This window comes from Homo sapiens, chromosome 11 (genome assembly GCF_000001405.40).
Source record: "Homo sapiens chromosome 11, GRCh38.p14 Primary Assembly".
NCBI classification, from domain to species: Eukaryota; Metazoa; Chordata; class Mammalia; order Primates; family Hominidae; genus Homo; species Homo sapiens.
This window is the reverse complement of record NC_000011.10, coordinates 131828023-131844338: the sequence shown is the minus strand read 5'-3', so window position 1 is coordinate 131844338 and position 16316 is coordinate 131828023. Positions and strand designations below refer to the sequence as shown.

The window sequence follows — 16316 nt, the reverse complement described above, 5'->3', positions numbered from 1 at the left end:
AATGAACCAACAGAAGCCGATAAAAGTCCGAATACAGAACCACACCAAATGGAAACTGGATTAAGGAAAGAAACAACATTGCAGATTCCTGTAATCAACAAATGCTCCCAAGGCCCCTGTCTCACATCACACACAAACATCAATTGCAGATAGATTAAAAAGCTAAATACCAACAGCAACACTTTGCCATTATTAGAATACAAATATAAGCAGGTATTTTTATGTTTTTCGGGTAGGAAATTATTTTTTATGCCAACACAAACGCACACACACATCCACAAACTCATCAAAGAAAATAAAGTTTTAGTTTATTAAAAGAAAAATAGTTCTCTACAAAAAAAAGAAGACATCATAAAGTGTAAACAAGAGACACAGGCTGGGAGAAAAAATTTGCAACTGCAATGCATGTAAAAAAGAATTCATATCGAAAATGTGAAAAAAAAGAGAATAAAATCCCAACCAACCAATAAGAGAAACAAGAAAAAAGAACTTGGTAGGAAAACTAGGCAATTCACTAAGAGGAAAATGAAATGGCTAATAAATATATAAAAAGATGTTCAACCACACTAGCAATCAGGAAAATACAAATTAAAACAACAATAAGATATCATTATATACCCAGAAAATTGCCTATTCGCATGCAGTCTAGTGAGATTTTAAACTGGCAAAACCATTTTATTAAGCAGTTTGGCAATATTTAGAAATGTTGAAGGTGCTTTTATCCTACCCTGAGTAATTCCCGCTCACATGTGCACAAGCTGCATACATGCATGTTTATTGCAGCATTGTTTTTACAGGTGGAGACAGCCCACAGGTCTTGCAATAATGGAGAGCTAAACAGTGGTAATAGTCATAAATTGGATTAAAATGAATGGGTGGTCTATCTGTCTATTTAAGAGGAATAAATCAAATCTCAGAAACATGAAGTTACATAAACAAGGCAAGTAACTGAAGAATCTAACCAGACTGAGACCATTTATAGTAGTTCAAAATCATGGAGAACAATATTATAGTTTATTTAAACACATATGAATGTACTAGAGAAGAAAAATCTGATAACTTCATAATTTTGGGGACCTCTGGAGAGGGGAGACAGGAGCAGGGAAAATGGATTTAGAGAAGAATAAACAAGTGGATTCAGTTTAGATTAATGTTGTGTTTCTCTAGTAATAATGTGTGAAATAAATTTGGCAAAAATATTACAACATGAGGAAAATTGGTAGCTAGCAACTTTTTTATTATTCATCATATTTTCCTATATGTTTGGAATATTCATATGAGAAATTTTGCTTTTCATTTTATATTTATTTATTTATTTATTTATTTTTTGAGACAAAGTCTTGCTTTATCACCCAGGCTGGAGTGCAGTGGTACCTCTTGGCTCACTGTAACCCCTGCTTCCTGGGTTCAAGTGATTCTCCTGCTTCAGTCTCCTGAGTAGCTGGGATTACAGGCATGCGGCACCACGCCCGACTAAATTTTGTATTTTTAGTAGAAATGAGGTTTCACCATGTTGGCCAGGCTGGTCTTGAACTCCTGACCTCAAGTGATCTGCCAGCCACAGCCTCCCAAAATGCTGGGATTATAGGCATGAGCCACTTTGCTTGCCCTCATATTAGAAATTTAGATAGTAAATTTAATGGTGTTTGCCTAAAACATTTTGGATTTTCATACTCAGTGGTTGATATACTCAATTAATGTACTTCTCTTGCAATGTCTTTTTCAAAAAGGTCAGTTCAAGATTTTTTTGTCCTGGATGCGTTGAACATGCTTAGTAGATAATGTTCATTTTTAGGTCACCTTCAGGAGTCAGCAGATTTGTGGACACCATATTTTATGGGAGACTACTGCCTCTCGATGCTCTATTTACCACACCACATTTTCTTAATACAGTAAGAAATGAAACGGAAACCACGACTTGCAAAACTGTGCTGAAATTCACAACAGATAAACTCTGTGGAACCAGGACACACAACACAAACACTGTAAACTCAAAATGTTTTAATAGGAGCTCATTCAGACCCTTATAATCCAAATAAGACAAGAGAAAAACTGACTTAACAACACCTTCTCATGGACTCATATGTTCCAAAGAAAAGACCACCGTCTGTTCCAGCGATTAAAATGGTTTGCAAGATCTGACCAGTTCCTGCTCAGAAACTTCTGCCCTAAAACCACCTTGTGGCTCACTCCAGCCTTTAGAGCTCTGTAAAGGAGCTCCTCTAACCTCTGACTCCACTGAGGTTCTCTCAAGGTGCTGCTCGCTCATGTGGTGCAAGTTGGGGTAACCGGTTTTGTATGATCCATACGTTTCTCTGGTCGTATTTGAATAGGAATTTGACAGTAGTGGGGAAACAAATTTGAATTCGCCCATTCTAGTGTGGCTCCTGCCTAATGGCTGTTGGGCATCTCTTGCCACTTTCTTCCTGCTTTGTGGCCCTGGCTTAACTCTACTGAATCACAGATTTCTGAGTGGGACACGCTCTTTCAGTCCCCAGGCCTCTGCCGCTCCTGCTCCTTCAGCTGTAATCCCCATCCCTCCTCTACTTCCCACGCTGACCCCAGTCACCCTTCACTCAGCTCAGGGGGCTCTTCCTCGTGGAAGTCATCAAGGCCCCTCTACCTTCAGGACTGACCCCTCAATAGGGCTCCCTTAGTAGCTTGTGCCTCCCTATCTGATAGCAGTTATCACACCTATATTTCCATTTTCTGTTTTCTTATCTGTCTCTCACCCTAGATCAGCAATTCTCGTCCTTGACTGTACATTGGAAATACTGGGGAATGTTAAAAAAAAATGTGACTTATTAGTTTGGGGTATGGCCTGGGCATCAGGATTTTTAAAATTGCCCAAGTGATTCTTGTGTGCTGCCAAGGTTGGAAATCACTGTATTTGATGGTGAGCTCTTTGAGTGCAAAAATGATCTTATTTGCCGTTGTAGCTCTAACACCTAGCACACAGTGCTGAACATTTAATAAATGTTTATTGAGGAAATGGGAGGTCACTATGGAGAACCACATTCTGATTCTGATGTGAAAAACACCATCATCTTGCTGTGTCACTATATTTGGCAACAACACTTGGCAGTACTTCCCCAAACAATAAGTATAACTCAATTATAGAATTATTACAATTTATTATAGCTATTGGTTTCATATTTCAGTCTCTCTCCCTGCAGGACTTTGAGGAGAGGAACAACATCCTAGTCATTTTTATGTCTCCAGAGCCAAGAACAGTGCATGACCTATAAAATGTCTTAAAAATGTGTACTAAATCTATTTAACTGACCATAAATTGAATTAGCTCAGTTTAAACTAATCACTGAAAACCTCAAGTGGGTCTTGTACTGCTGGAAGACCATACTTTCCCACTAGTTCATTCACCATCTCACTCCTCAAGATGAACATTTTCATTTCACACCTTCTGTCATCCTCCACCTCTGACATTCCCTCCATCATTCTCAGATTTGCCCGATGGCCTCACTTCCTCCTTCACTGAGAAAAATAAAACTGTTCAGAAGAGCACTTCCAGGGTCCCGCTCCAGGTCCTCCAGTGAGCCAGCACCAGATCCCACACCCTCTAATGTAGGATGGAAGACACGGCTTTGTTCAGTTTCACATCCTCTTCTGGGGGTCATTCCCATCAACACATAAACACATTCTTCATTTTTAGGTCATTTCACTTCTTTAAAATATACCTCTTTTTTTTGGACAGGTGTCAGTTTTTGCTCCCCTCTGTAGAAAGAAAAAACTCATGAAAGTTTTCAATGTTAATGTCCTATCCATCTCTTCAGATTCTTCCTTAAGTTTTCTTTTGCTGTCACATCTGAAAATGGACTCAAGGTTGCCACTGAGCTCCCTGTTTTCAAATCTCATGGTCGATCCTCAGACCTCCTCTTACTTGGTCCATCGGCAGCGTGTGACACAGTTGATCGATCACTCCACCTTCCATGATGTGCCTTCCTCACATGGCTTCCAGGAGAACATGCTCTTGGTTTGCCTCCTGAGGGATTTTCCTGTACAGTGTCCTGCTCTGTGTCCTCATTTGCTCACCTAATCCTTAATATTGGAATTCTTAAGGATTCAATCCTTAGGCGTTTTTCCTTTTCCCATTCACTTCCTTGGGGGAAATCTGATTTGGCCTCGTGGCTTTAAATAGCATCCGTATCACAACTTCCCAATGCATGTGTCTGGTACATTCCTGAGTCACAGGAGTGTATATGCAATCGCCTACTCTCAACTCTACCTGTGTCTAACAGACACACCAAGTGCGATGTCCTTAAAGCTGAAGGCCTGACCTGAACTCCCCAACACAGCTTTCATCGTCTGTCTCAGCTGATGGCAAGTCCATCCTCCAGTTGTCCAGGTGTGAAGGCTTGTAGTCAGATCTGCTGCCCCCTCCCTGTCTCTAATACTCAAATTGCAGTACTTTTGGAAGTCATGTGTCTCTCTACCTTGGAAATACATCTAGAAACTGACTATCTCCCAATGGTTCACTGCTACCACCCTGGCCTGGGCCACAGATCTGGGTCAGACCTCCCATCATTTTCATACAACAGTTTCCATACTGTTTTCCCAACAACTGCATTTGCTCACACCCATTCAAATCTAGTTTCAACATAGCAGCAAACTAATCCATGAGTCTTTTCAAGTGTACATTAAATTCTTTCACTCTTCTGGGCAAAACCCTCCAGTGACTGTCAGAGTAAAAGTCTGTGTTCTTATGGTGACCTATAAGTCTCCTTTTCTGGTGTCCTGTTATCTTGCTTCCTTAACTCCCACTAATCTCCCCTGACTCACTTAGCTGCAGCCGCACTGCTGACCTTGCTGCACACTGAGCAGGATAGCATGGCCTGAGGGCTTCTGCCCTGGCTGCTTCCTCAGGTGGACTTTCTTTCCCCAGATGTCCCCCGACTCATTTCCTCATCTCCTTCACATATTTGCTCTAACATCAGCTTATAAATGACACCAACCTCAAATACCCTGTTAATATTGCAACCTGCCCTGGTCCTGAAACTCCCAATTCTTTAATCCATTTCTGTTATATTTTTCTACCTAACCACTTACCTTAAAATATACAGGCCAGGCATGGTGGCTCACGCCTGTAATTCCGGCACTTTGGGAGGCCGAGGCGGGCGGATCACCTGAGGTCAGGAGTTCGAGACCAGTCTGGCCAACATAGTGAAAGCCTGTCTCTACTAAAAATACAAAAAATTAGCTGGGTGTGGTGGTGTGCACCTGTAATCCCAGCTACTCAGGAGGCTGAGGCAGGAGAATCGCATGAACCCGGGAGGCAGAGGTTGCAGTGAGCCGAGATTGCGCCATTGCACTCCAGCCCGGGTGACAGTGCGAGACTCCATCTAAAAAAAAAAAAAAAAAGATTATTTACTTATTTCATTTACCATTGATTGTCTGTCCACTCTTCCCTTGAGAATCTAAACCCAAAGAGGGCAGGAATATTTGCTTCATTCATAGATGCACTCAAAGCACCTCCAAGAATACCTGGTACACAGTAGATGCTCAGTGGATATTTTTTGAATGAATGAATGATGGAATGTTTTTTTGTATTCTTATTCTATAGTTTATATTCTATTCTTTTCAAAACCTAATAAACCCCCTTTGTTTTATCTATCCAGTTCCAATATCTTCTATCAGATCAGTTTGAGTGCGCATATGACATTGTACGCACACACAACCATGAATTTTTAACTTTCTCCCTCTGTTCCATATTTTCCATTGATCACTTCCATATTGACCCTGGATACTGGCACTTTACCTACACTATCTCCAATCTCACAACAACATCAAAAGATAGACATTATTATTTCCCTGTGGAAAATGCAGAAAATGAAGCTCAGTGGGATTTAGCAATTTGCAACACAACTAATACATGACATCAGGAATTGAATCCACTATTTTCCAACCAAAGCCATTGCTCTGACCTTTTAACGTCTGCTACCCCCATAGATATGTAAATCACTAAGGAGGTGGACACTCGGCTGTACTATTTTTGTGTTTCCCACCAGTACTTAATATAACATAGGCTGGTCCTTCAGGATCGTTGACTGGAGTCCTGACACACATGACAGAGCCCGACTTCCGGGATGAGTGATCACTGAGCATGCGCAGGACCTGTGCCGTCTACACCCCGCCCCCTGCATCCGTGATGCTGGAACCGAGTCGTCCTTCCGGTTTTTACCTGATGTAAAAATAAATAAATAAATAACTGTGAAAAAAATCCAATCTCTGTTTGGAGGCACTAAATCCCCTCTCCTTTCCAGATGGCTGGGAGATGTTTCCCAGGTGGTAAATATATTATTAAGAACTCATTTCACCGTGAAATTGACTATTCAAAACACAGACAGAAGTTAATATATTAGGCCAACCTGTCTGAAAACTCGTGTTAGAGAAAATTTATTTTGGGTTAGTATAAAACCTGGTATTACACACAACCTTTTTCGACTTCAGGCAGTTAAAGTCATCTCCAGTTAGAACATGTGTTCCCACGTCAGGGCACGTCGCCACAGAGAGCCACATCTCCAGGTGAGGACCCGGGTGGCTCCCCCAGCGTGGGGCCTGGCATCGCGGCAGGCAGCAATGACAGGTCTCCCGCAACACCACGCATAGCCCTCGGGTGCACAGGAACCTTTTCCACCCAGGAGTTGGGGCCCGTTGAAAAACCTTTGCCTGGGCTTGTCTAGGACACCTTCAAACAGAGGATCCGGGACCACCCAGGCCAAATGTAGCAGAAGGAGTATTATTACTTAAGGGTGATCTGTTTCATCTTAGAAAAACTGTGTTAATCGCAAAGTAGAAAAGGGGTTCTCAATGAGGACCCAATTAGATGTGACTCTCCTAAATAGTAACTCATTCTGGACTCACTGTACAATAACTAGGCTACTTTCTTAGATTACAAAGAAATCACTCCAGCAGGCCACAGTCTATCAGTGAATACCCAAATTATAATGAGAAGAGTGGTTTAGGATTTTCACAATATATTAGAAAACACTGCATTAGGAATCACTAAATACTTAATTGAGGGGATGAGGGTAAGAGAAGGCAGAGAAGAGGAGGTACCTTTTGAATTGATCCCTGACAAAGGTGCAAATTCGGTAGATGCCTGTGTGGAAATGCATATCATGAAGTGGCTCCCACCTACTTTGGTCTTGACACCAAAATGGCTTGAAATATATCTATTCCCTCCCCACCAGAGTTTTTATGTTAATACGTATGTACTTGTTTTCCTGTACCTTGACTCTTGTTTTAAGTTTTGTCTGTAATCTAAAGTTTAAGGACAAAGTGAAAAATAATTCATAGCTTATGTGTACTTGAGTTCTTTTCCAGCCTCAAAAGAGACTTTCCTTTTGTTTTAAAAAAGATCCCTTCAGGAGTGACAGCTTTATTACTAATCACACAATGGATTTGTTACACATCACCAGGAGCAAAATCAAACTGACACCTAAATAATGTCTATTAAAGAATTTCTTAATTTAGTCAATTATTTTGATCCAACTAATTACTCACTTAAATAAGGATTCATTCAAACAACTGCCTAGATTTTTTTCTGTAAAATCAGTTCCAGAGTAATTAGTAAACCAGTAATTAATAATCCCCTGAGGAATGAAACCATTTTTCACATATTTAAAGTAAACAAAGCATCCCTTATTGGGTAACTGACTTCTGCAGCAACTCAGTAAAGGTCCAACCACTCATGACATGGAGAGAAGCATACAGAGGGGAATGTGCTCATTGGAAAAGTAGAGTTTGAATTCCTAGGCTCAAATAAATTGCATACTAGTGTAGATAATAAACAAATTGATTAATATGATTTAGAAAACATTAATTCATCCCTTCATTCACATGTCAAAATTCACTGTCTATATACAGTGTTCCAAGCACTGTGCTACACAATTACATATACAAATGAGAATTTCCATAGCAAATCTTTTAATTCATTCCCTATTTAGATCCAAGAAGATTTAAAGGGGGCTTACAAGATGAAACAGCAAGAATTCTGGCTTGGAGAAGCTCTCGAACTAGTTCAACAGAATTAGAATTTCATGAGAAACCTTGGAGAACAGAAGGATAAGCAGGAAATATAAGGTGGTACATAACTTAATTTTAAGAAAAGTTTTGTTGAAACATTACATACATATAGAAAAAATGAGCACATCATAAGCATACAGCTTGATAAGTATGCACATGGTAAACACAACCGCATTACTACCAGCAGTTAAAGAAATTGAAAATGACCTGTACTCAGAAGCCTCCTATTCTTGCAGCCTGTCTTCATTCTCTAAAAGTAGCACTGGCCTGACTTTCATGACTATATCAGTTTTGCCCATTTTTACTCTCCATATAAACAGAATCATTTGGTATAAATTCTTCAGTGTCTGACTTCTTTTGCTCAACATTGTATTTGTGACACTCTTCTATGACATGTGTATGTCATCAGTCTTAGTGTTTTAGAATATTCCATTGGGTGGATATGTCCCTATCCATATATCCATTTTACTGTTTATGTTTGTGTGGCTTCCAGTTTGGAGTTAAAACAAATAGTGCATCTATCAACACTTTTGTAAAATGTCTTTTGGTGCATGTATATATCTATGCTTGGGAAATCTATGCTGAGAGGAACAATGAGAGATTCTGTAATTAATAGCTCTAAATAATTTTCCAGAGTGTTTGTACCAATTAGGTTTCAGCAGCAAGGTATGAGAGATCTAGTTAATTCACATCTTCACCAGCACTTAGTATTGCCAGTTTTTTTTAATGTTACCCATTCTGATGGATATATAGCAATATATCATCGTGGTTTAAACTTACATTTCTCTAATGATTAGTGAGGTTGAGTCCTTTTACACATTTTTGATCACTTTGTGAAGTGCTTGTTTAAATCTTTCTTCTATTTCTGTTGAATGTCTGTCTTTATATTTTTTATTTGTAGGAGGTGTTTATCCATCCTAGAGATAAGTCTTTTTTCATATACGTATCGTGAATATCCTAACTATTCAGACTAGAAAGATTACAAGTGATCCCAGCAACATTCTCGATGGCACTTGTTTACTTTCATAGACTCCAGGGTACACATACAACACACATGTATTTTCAAACAGAATTTTCAATTTTCAAACAGAAATATCTTCAGATCTGAGCCCAAATACATATGTTAAATCTTGGCAGAAAACAAATAATTGGTATCTACCATCTCCTAAAATTTCCTGTTCTGCTTATAATACATCCAGTCTCCAGAGTGTAAGCCCCATGAGGACAGGGATGTTAGCTGAACTTCTTTGCTGCTGTATTTTTCAGTATTGAGAACAATACTGAACACATAGTAAGAATGTTAAAGCTGTTTGTTGAATGAATTAATGGCCAGGGTTACAATGGTGGTGACCTCTCTCTGAGGATTTTAGCTACCTGACCCCTGACCATAATGAACATCAACTCCACTGTACTTGTTAGACATTAAAGAAGCAAATGTTTTAGGCCACATATCCAATGGGAGGCAGTATAGCAGGGTGATCTAAATTATGGGCTACAGATCAAAAATGCCTAGATTGGATCATGGCTCTAATAGTAAAGTAGCTGTGTGAACTGTGTTTAGTGACATAATCCCTCTGTGCCTCAGATTCCTCATGTGTAAAGTACAGATAATAATCTTACTATCCCACTGCGTTGCTGTGAAGATTATACATATATATATATATATATATGTATATGTATATATATACACACACTATTCCGAAGATGCTTGGCTTATAGTGATGATGATGATTATTATGATGGCATTGGGGGTGATGATGAAGGTGACAGGGATGATTAGGATGATAGGGACCAGAACAGAAGCTCCACGTCGTCAGATCCTATTCTAATTACTCACAGCTGCAACCCCAGCACAGTGCCTACCACATGAAAACAATTCAGTAAACACTTATTGACTGAGTAAAGGATAAATCAGTAATTAGTTAGATGCAGAAACCATGGAATTAAATCAAAGAAATGGCCGATAGGTCATAGTTAAGCCCATAGATGTGGAAGGGAGTGGGTATTGGGAAAATATAGAGTGAGAAGGAAGGAGGCCCTAAGCCTGATTACTACTGAATTTCAACCTTTAAAGCCAGCTCAAGGCACGTGAGTGTGGTGGGCCCTGAGCCTCCCTATTCTGAGTAGCACCGTGGCAGAGAATTAAACAGAGACTAAACAGAGGCCAAGGGAGAAAATGAACAGAAACCAATGAACAAACGAAAGAGAAGATATCAGGATAAAGAAGAGACTGTACTTATGCCAGATGTTCTCCCTACCTCCACCTCATCCTCATGCCATGAGGCTATGTAAGCTTTCCAGAACTTAGATGAGTCCTGAGTGGAAATGGAGAATACCATAGGGTGGGGAGAAGAGCAAGTAGAATTTATAAAACTTCTAAGAAAAAAGACTTCGAAATGAAGATTTCTGTCTTTGGGCAAAATAAAGTCTTGAAACAGAAATTGAGTTGTTACAGGAAGAAAAAGGAAGTTACCTTTCTTGCATAATAGAATTTATGCCCTTGAATATTGCATCCCCCCATCTTTAACCACTAGGCTATCCTGCCTCCTCAGAAGCAAAGAGGCAGAGCTCCTTCCTTTAGGGTACAGGGCCTAATGGAAAACACGGCAGGGTTAAGGAGAGAACCAACCAAGGACCACTGTGTGTTCATGTCACTGAATACTATTTGAAAAGACTTCAATTCATGATGATTGTGTCATTCAGCCTTGACAGTCACGTCCTGACTCATGTGTGAGCTACAGATGCACTCAGTCTCCTGAGGTGGCTTCCCCCATGAGTGTCTTCCATTCCTTTGTCACTTACTGGCTGTGTGACCTTAGGGAAGGCATATAAACCTCTCTGTGCTTTAGTTTTCTTCCCTGTAAAATAGGGATACAATTAGTATCTACTTCATGGTGTATGCTGGGGGTTACATGAGGTAGTGTATGTGAAGCATGTAGCACATTTCCTGGAGCATATCAAGTGTCTGCCAATTGTTAGATATTGATAGCAATAGAAAGTGAATTAATCACAAGGACAAAGCTAGGAAATGTCAGAGTGCACTGTAAAACTCAGGCCTATGTGACTACAAAGCTCACCTTTCCACTGCACCACAATTCTTCAATACAAAAATCACACAATATAGCTAAGGAAAACGTGAACAGGTGAAATCTAAAATATGTGGTCAGAACGATACATAAATTTCTGTTCAAAATACATCCAATAGGATACACTTTGTGAGCTTAATGTTTTCTGAGCTAGTTACTATTGTAGAGAAAAACTTTATTTTATGGGTATTTATGACAACTTTAATTCTAACATGTTATAAATACTTTATTCACTCTATGAGCAAATTAGTTCACAATTAGTAAAGGAGAAATCTCATTACAACAAATACCTTACAACAGAGCAGCCTAAATTATATTTTAAAATTAGCTTATCATTTGGATAGAACTTAACAGTTTTTAAAGCGCCCTTGTCTATATATATATTTAATCCTGTGTGTGTTTATGTGCATACATATGCACGTACATACATATACACATACACCTTCCCTCAGTTTATCTCCAATGTGACTCTGGAAGGAGTTACTATTATTTTCTTCACTTTACAGCCAAGGAAACTGAGGCTTAGAAAGCCTTCATCAATCATCTAAGGCCACGGAATTAGAAGGGAGGGACCAAGAACCCCAATGCCAGACCCTGCTTTGAGTTAACCTACACTAAGCTGCCTCATATCCAAGCTGAGGGTGAAGTCAAGATTAATTTTCATAGGCTACTGGGATTTATCACAACAAAATGTGTCCTGTATTGGGATTAAAATTAAGGCTTATAGTAAATTCTTGACTGCTAGTGAGTCTTTAGAATCATGATACCTTTTTACCATCAAAGAACAAATATACAGGTCAAAGCCTCCTCAGGGTATCCATGGTTTTTTTTTCTTAAAAGTGAGGTTTCTTTGTAATGATTGCTTTGCCAAACATCACATGCTCAGTCCCCTGGCTGCTGAGACTGAATTTTGTCTCTCAGACTCTGACATTGAGTTAGCAAGTGAAAAAATTACTCTGAACCCATGAGTGAGAAGAGGAAGCATCACGCATACATATGAACTCTGTTTTTTTTTTTTTTCTCTTCTAACACCCGGAGTTTGACCCAAGTGTTTATGCTTGCTTTTGTGTGTGTGTGGCGTGTTTTGAAGGGCAATTTGGGAGTTTGAGTAGGTTTTGGAACGAAGTGCTTTCTTTTGGTTCATCCACCTGTATGCAGAAAAAGCTTCCACTGTAGGAGAATGGACTAATATTGATTTTATTATTTCACATATATATATGTACTAGGCTTTTCATATATATATTATATTTAATTATATATATTATATATATAATTACATAGGAATAAATTAATGTTGGGAGAATTAATTACTTTGGGATTAATTTTGGGACCTTTTATGCTTTTATGAATATTTAAAGGACTCAGAAACCCGGAGATAATCTGAACACTGGCCTAGTCAAAGAGTGGTCAAGTAAGATTCAATCTCTTTAATGTAGATCCAAAGTCAAAGTATCTGCTACCTGATTTTTACAGAAAAGTCACAGCATGAACACAAATCCAGAAGACTTTTCCCTAGAATTTATGGAGTGGTTTTCAAGAGAAAGCTATTTGCTACGTAAGCTTTAAGATCTAAAAAGTTTACACATTTAGTAATTTGGGACTGGGAAGTTTTAAGCAGTGGCATGAACACTGTACAAATTGCTTGGAGCCCTGACTTTCTGGAGGCTTGGGGAAGTCACCAGACTCAGGCTGGGACTCCCACTAGAATGCACATGTGACCCAGCCTGGTTCTGGTGTGTGGACGGCATAGGCTAAGATTCTGCCATTTTCCAGCCATGAGGACATGGGTATATCATCTATTTCATGGCTGGGTTTGCTTATCAGCAAAAGCAGATACTAGTCCTTTCTCCTATTTGTGCTGGGACTTCAACATGCATCAGATTTGTTAATATGCCTTGTAAGCAAGGGCAAACTACAAAAATTTAGTTCTTTACTAAATTTTATAGATGTAGACCTGAAAAGGAGCCTTCCAATGTTTAGGAAGCTACTATTATTAATTTTAAAAGTGAGTCCCAGCAAGTCCTATCCACAGCAATCAGGCAAGAAAAAGAAATAAAAGGCATCCAAATAGGAAAAAAAGAAGTCAAACTATCTTTCTTTGCTGATGATGTGATTCCATATGTAGAAAACCCTAAAGACTCTACCAAATGATTTCTTGAACTGATAAAGGACTTCAGTAAAGTTTCGGAATCCATGTACAAAAATCAGTAGCATTTCTATACACCAATAGCTTTCAAGCTGAGAGCCAAGTCAAGAATGCAATCCCATTTACAATAGCTGCAATAAAATAAAATAAAATATGTAGGAATACAGCTCACCAAGGAGGTGAAAGATATCTACAAGGAGAACTATAAAACACTGCTGAAAGAAATCAAAGATGACACAAACAAATGAAAAAACAGTCCATGCTCACAGATTGGAAGAATCGATATTGTTAAAATGGCCATAATGTCCAAAACAATCTACAGATTCAACATTATTCCTATCCAGCTATCAATGTCATTTTTCACAGAATGAGAAAAAACTATTCTAAAATTCACATGGAACCAAAAAAGAGCCCAAATAGCCAAAGCAATCCTAAGCAATAATAGAACAAAGCTGGAGGCATCACACTACCTGACTTCAAACCATACTACAGGGCTACAGTAACCCAAACAGCATGGCACTGGTACAAAAACAGACATATAGACCAATGGAACAGAATAGAGAATGCAGAAATAAAGCCACACACCTACAGCCATCTGATCTTTGACAAAGTCGACAAAAACAAGCAATGGGGAAAGGACTCACTATTAATAAATCATGTTGGAATAGCTGGCTAGCCATATACAGAAGGATGAAACTTGACTTCTGTCTTTTACAATATACAAAAATTAACTCAAGGAGGATTAAAGATTAAATGTAAGACATCAAACTATAAGAATGCTAGAAGAAAACCCAGGAAACACTATTCTGGATATCAGCCTTGGGAAAGAACTACATCCTCAAAAACAATTGCAACAAAAACAAAAATCGACAAGTGGAACTTAATCAAATGAAAGAGTTTCTGCACAGCAAAAGAAACTATCAACAGAGTAAACAATCTATAGACTGGGAGAAAATATTTGCAAACTATGCATTCAACAAAGGTCAATATGGAGAATGCATAATAAACTTGAACAATTTGAAAAGCAAAAAATAACCCCATTTAAAAATGGGCAAAAGCTGTGAACACACACTTCTCAAAAGAATACATACAAGTGGCCAAGAGACATATTAAGAAAAACCTGTTCCACATCACTAATCATCAGAGAAATGCAAATAAAACCACAGTGAGATAGCATCTCACACTGGTCAGAGTGGCTATTATTAAAAAGTCAAAAAATAACTGATGCTCGCAAGGCTGCAGAAAAAAGGGAATGCTTATACACTATGATGAGAATGTAAATTAGTTCAGCCACTGTAGGAAGCAGTTTGGAGATTTCTGAAAGAACTAAGAACTACCATTCAACCCAGCAATCTCATTATTGGTTATAAATCCAAAAGAAAATAAAACATTCTACCAAAAAGTTGCATTCACACATATATTTCTTGCAGCACTATTCACAATAGCAAAGACATAGGATCAACATAGGTGCCTATCAATGGTGGATCAGATAAAGAAAACATGGTACATATACACCATGGAATACTATGCCATAGGAAAGAATGAAATTATGTCCTTTGCAGCAATATGTATGCAGCTGGATACCATTATCCTAAGTGAATTAATGCAGGAACAGAAAACCAAATGCTGCATGTTCTCACTTATAAGTGACACCTAAACATTGGGTACTCATGGACATAAAGATGGGAACAATAGACACTGGAGAATTCTAGAGGGAGGGGACAGGGAGGGGTACAAAGGTTGATAAACTATTGGATACTATTCTCAATACCTGAGTAATGGGATCAATTGTTCCCCAAACCTCACCATCACATGATATACCCAAGTAACAAACCTGGACATGTATCCCATGAATCTAAAGCAAAATTTGTAATCATTTTTTTTTTAAGTGACTCTTAAACAGAAAAAATGTTTTCTCTGAAATGATAGGGAGAATTGATGCTCTGGAAGTTCTCATTACTGGGTCTAAGCTTAGGCAAAGGGGTGATTAAGGAGGTTATATGATCTTGAACTTTCAATATAAGTATGTGTGAGTGCTTGTGTGTATGTGAGAGAGAGGGAGGCAGAGAGAGACAGAGAGAGAGAGAGGGAGAGTGATGGAGGGAGAGGAAGAGAGAGAGAGAAATAAAAGATGGTAATGACAGGGTAAGTAGTCATAAGGCTAAAAGGAACATTTTTACTAGCTTTAATTTTCTTATGATCAATTGCACTGAATAAAGAGTTTCAATTTTTAAAGTGGGCTTTAGATACTCTGATACTTGGAAGGTAGAATAGAGACTAGGTTAGTGAGAAGAAAAGAGGGAACAAAGAAGCTGGTTGAGTAAAAGTTGTATGCCTTGTCCTGGTTTGGAGACGTGCCGTGAAACCTGGAAAGAAAAGACAGTGGGTGATCACAATCAGATAGTAGTAACAGTGGTGGTGGTAGTGATGGTAGTGATGTTGGCAATGATGGTTAAGGTGGCGGTGATGATGTTCGTGATGACTGTGAAGGTGGTGGTGATGATGGTGGCAATACCAGAATTAATGGTGAAGGTGTTAGTGGTAGTGATGATGATGGTGGTGATATTTGTGATAATGGTGAAGGTGGTGGTGATGGTGGTAATGTTGGCAATGTAGATGAAAGTTGTGGTGGTGGTGATGATGGTGAAGGTGGTAGTGATGCTGATGATGAGTGATGGTGGTGATGTTGCAGTGATGGCAAAGATGGTGATGATTGTGGTAGTGACAATTTTGGCAATAATGGTGAAGGCGGTGGTGATACTGGTGTTAATAGTGAAAGTGGTCGTGGTGGTAATGGTGATAGTGACGAGAGTACAAATAATAACAGCTGACATTTACTACGTACTTGCTACGCACAGGGTTGTGATAAGTGCTTTGCCTGATTCATCTCACTTAGACCTAAAAACGTTATTGAGAGGTAGTTGTTTTTTTTTTTCTTCATCTTACAAATAAGGAAAATTTGGCAGGTAGAATTTAATAGCTTTTCAAGGTCACATACCTATATGTTGAGTGAGATATTTGAACCCAGGCAGTTTGACTCC

General features: G+C 38.9%; 1 protein-coding gene across 22 annotated transcripts in view, besides 3 other annotated features; it reads right to left on the bottom strand.

The window, feature by feature from the left end:
- The window catches only part of NTM (neurotrimin), a 966208-nt gene that overhangs the window by 492484 nt on the left and 457408 nt on the right, over positions 1 to 16316 (bottom strand). The window lies entirely within an intron of this gene.
- Positions 4590 to 4884: a silencer, noted in NCBI's record as "tiled region #14910; HepG2 Repressive non-DNase unmatched - State 24:Quies". NCBI's record gives its function as "represses a minimal TATA promoter and a strong SV40 promoter by Sharpr-MPRA in HepG2 cells {active_cell/tissue: HepG2}" and the evidence as "EXISTENCE:reporter gene assay evidence [ECO:0000049][PMID:27701403]".
- Positions 6064 to 6564: an enhancer, noted in NCBI's record as "H3K4me1 hESC enhancer chr11:131707669-131708169 (GRCh37/hg19 assembly coordinates)". NCBI's record gives its function as "activates a minimal SCP1, AML or CMV promoter by ChIP-STARR-seq in primed H9 embryonic stem cells {active_cell/tissue: H9 hESC(primed)}" and the evidence as "EXISTENCE:reporter gene assay evidence [ECO:0000049][PMID:30033119]".
- Positions 6565 to 7065: an enhancer, noted in NCBI's record as "H3K4me1 hESC enhancer chr11:131707168-131707668 (GRCh37/hg19 assembly coordinates)". NCBI's record gives its function as "activates a minimal SCP1, AML or CMV promoter by ChIP-STARR-seq in primed H9 embryonic stem cells {active_cell/tissue: H9 hESC(primed)}" and the evidence as "EXISTENCE:reporter gene assay evidence [ECO:0000049][PMID:30033119]".